Source organism: Homo sapiens, chromosome 19, assembly GCF_000001405.40.
Source record: "Homo sapiens chromosome 19, GRCh38.p14 Primary Assembly".
Classification (NCBI taxonomy): domain Eukaryota; kingdom Metazoa; phylum Chordata; class Mammalia; order Primates; family Hominidae; genus Homo; species Homo sapiens.
In genome coordinates, this window is record NC_000019.10 from 8,696,371 (window position 1) to 8,699,155 (window position 2,785).

Here is a 2,785-nt window from a genome sequence, read left to right on the forward strand (position 1 = left end):
CTGGGGGAAAAATCCTGAGGGGAGGGGAGAGTTCTGCAGGGATGATGGATGCCAGGGGCATCCCATGGTGGGACCATTGTAGGAGAAACCCTTGAAAGTCAGAATTCAGGTCTCTGTGATGGATCTGGGGGGTCAGCACTTGTGGGGGGCATCCTAGGGGAAACCAATGAAGAGGTGGATTTGGGGTGCTGAGAACCAGGGGTATCTTGACAAGTGGAATCTTGACAAGTGGAATTTAAGAGTGTGTTTGGGGGGATTAGAAATAAGGGGAAGATTATGGGGGTGCACCCAGGGGTTGGAGCACTCACGGGAAGATTCTGGGAGGAGGTTGGAGCATTCCGGGGTAGAGACTGGGTTGGGGGGTCCCTGAGGAGCATACTAAGGGGGGTGGCAGTTTGGAGGGTTTGGAGCCCAGGGGTATTTTGGGATGCTATATCAAAAGCAATAGATAATGGGGTGAGATTAGGGAGTCAGTATTTGAGGATGTCTTGGGCACATAGTGGGTAATTAATGAATGTATGTGGGATCAATGCATGAATCACTTAAACTAGAAATGGAAGGAATTGGGTATGTGGCTTGGGTATGTGGCAGACCCTAGGGGTGTGTGTGGGCATGGGGTGGGTGGTCAGAGGCTTTCATGTTCTTCATGTTTGGGGTTGGGGGCAGGTGCCAGGTGGAGGCTTATCTATGACTCATAGGAGGAGGTGATATTTCTAACAATAGCCTTGAGGTAGTGAACTCCCCATCTCTGGGAGTGTGTAAATGGGAAGGGCACTTGTCAGAGGTGGTCTGGGGAGGGGGTGTCCCAACCCAAGGGTGCCTGGGGAGGGGCACAGATCACAGGAGGATGGGTTGACAGGATTAGAACTTAGTGGTCTGTTGGGAGTTATTCATGGGGAAGGTGGGTTTAGGGGGTCAGGATTGGGGTGTCTCAGGGCATGCATCACAGGAGGTGAGTTAGGTCAGCCTGTGGGGCGAGGTGCCCAGGAGTGGATGGGGCAGGCCCTGGAGGAAGGACAGGACAGAGCCGGCTGTAGCAGAGGCTTTACTGCCCCCACGCCCTCCCCAGCTCTGCCCTGGTCAGTAGCATTTGCGGTACACGATATAGGGACCCTGTTCCTCGTACTGCTCCCGCAGGACCCAGCAGGACTGGAAGGCGCGCAGGGAGGCCAGGATGGAGCCCCCGATCCATACGGAGAAATTCCTGGTGGGCTGGGCAGCCACCACCACGTGGGTCTCGGCTGGCAGAGCGCGCAGCAGCTCTGCCCGGAAGCGACCCTCGAAGCCGGTGAAGAGCGAGGACCCACCGCAGAGAAGCACGTTTTGGGCCAAGTCCGCGCGCATCTCCAGTGACAACTTGCGGAGACTCTGCTTGGCCATGGTGGAGAGGCCGACGGGTGACAGCCCCGGGACCTCTGGGGGGTTGAACAGCAGCTCCGGACACTGGAACAGCTCCTTGCCCAGGGTGACCGTGCGCCCATCGGGCAGCTTCAGAGTCCGCTTGTACTCCTGCTCCGGCCGGGCCTGCTCCTTCTGGAAGTCGGAGGCCACGTAGCAATAGTGGTGCTTAATGTTCTCCACTAGGTCCAGGTCCTGCTGTCCCAGGGGCAGGCCGGCCTGGAGCAGCATCTCCGCCAGGAAGGCGGTCAGGTTGTTGCCCGCCAGGTCCAGACGCTCCGTGGCGTGGAGCAGGTTGTAGCCCTGGAAGACGGGCACTGTGTAGGTGACCCCGTGTCCCGTGTCCACCACCAGCCCGCTGACACGACCGTGGGCGTAGACAGACAGCACCGACTGCGATGCCACGTACATGGCTGGGGAGCGCAGCGACTCGAAGGCCACCTCCACTAGCTTCTCGCGGTTGGTGGCCGGGCTGAAGGGTGGGTCGGAGAACAGCAGCGGGTGGTCGTGGGTGGCCACTCGGAGGTCGTGCTCCAGCAGGTGGCGCCAGATGAGCTCGGCGGCATCCCAGTCCACGACGATGCCGCTGCGCAGGGGTTGCACCAGCGTCAGCTCTGGGAGCACGCGGGCTGCCTCGCCGATGAACGTCTGCAGCCCGGACTGCCCCGAGGTGGCGGGTTTCTTGGGCTGGCAGCCCAGGATGGTGGCCACGGTGTAGGTGGGGCTGGCCTGCCCAGCAAAACCTACCTTACAGGTGCCTGTGCCCATGTCAATAACCACCGCGCCGGTCTTTGGTGGCAGCCTGTCGGCCACCATGCCGGGGGAGTCCCGCTGCAGGGGCTTGTTCACCACGTTGGGACTGGGGTTTGGGCCGGGCCTGGGGGCCTCCAGGGAGGACTGGGATTCCGAGGACTTGGGGCGACTTGCATCCATGGTTGCGGGACGCCAGGTGAGGGGGCTTTTCCTCTGGGGTTGGGGTTGCGGGGAGAAGAGGTTGAGGCCCGGCCAGTGGGGAGGGCAGGCAGACAGGGGGAGGGGTGGGCCCGCAATCTATGACGTCACGGTGCCCCTTCAGTCTTCTTAAGACATCACAATGCAGCCAAGAGGATGGGTCCCTGCCCAGCCCTGCCTGCCCAAAGGCTGTCATCTCTTCTCTGAAGAGCCAAATTTGGAGGAGGAGATGAGCATCTCAGAGCAGGGCCCTCTTAACACATTTCTGTCGGATGCGCTAGAAGCTAATACGATGGCACCTGGTTTTTGAGAAAAGACAAGCTTTTTGTTGCATGTCAACCCACTGGGAGCTAGGAATCCAGCACAAGTCTGTTTCTCAGCTGGCTTTAAGGCAGTAATTTTATTAGAAAAGTTCTGGGGCCGGGGGCTGTGGCTC

At 59.5% G+C, this 2,785-nt stretch overlaps 1 protein-coding gene across 1 annotated transcript; it reads right to left on the reverse strand.

Moving 5' to 3' along the window:
• Positions 1 to 1,029: 1,029 nt before the first annotated feature.
• Positions 1,030 to 2,425, reverse strand: ACTL9 (actin like 9). The gene has a single exon (NM_178525.5). The coding sequence runs from the start codon at positions 2,329 to 2,331 to the stop codon at positions 1,081 to 1,083; it is 1,251 nt and encodes a 416-aa protein (NP_848620.3). The 5' UTR covers positions 2,332 to 2,425; the 3' UTR covers positions 1,030 to 1,080.
• Positions 2,426 to 2,785: the final 360 nt, after the last annotated feature.

Bases quoted from the DNA above. Each gene is read 5' to 3' on its own strand.
- ACTL9 (NM_178525.5), bottom strand. From the start codon at position 2,331: ATGGATGCAAGTCGCCCCAAGTCCTCGGAATCCCAGTCCTCCCTGGAG.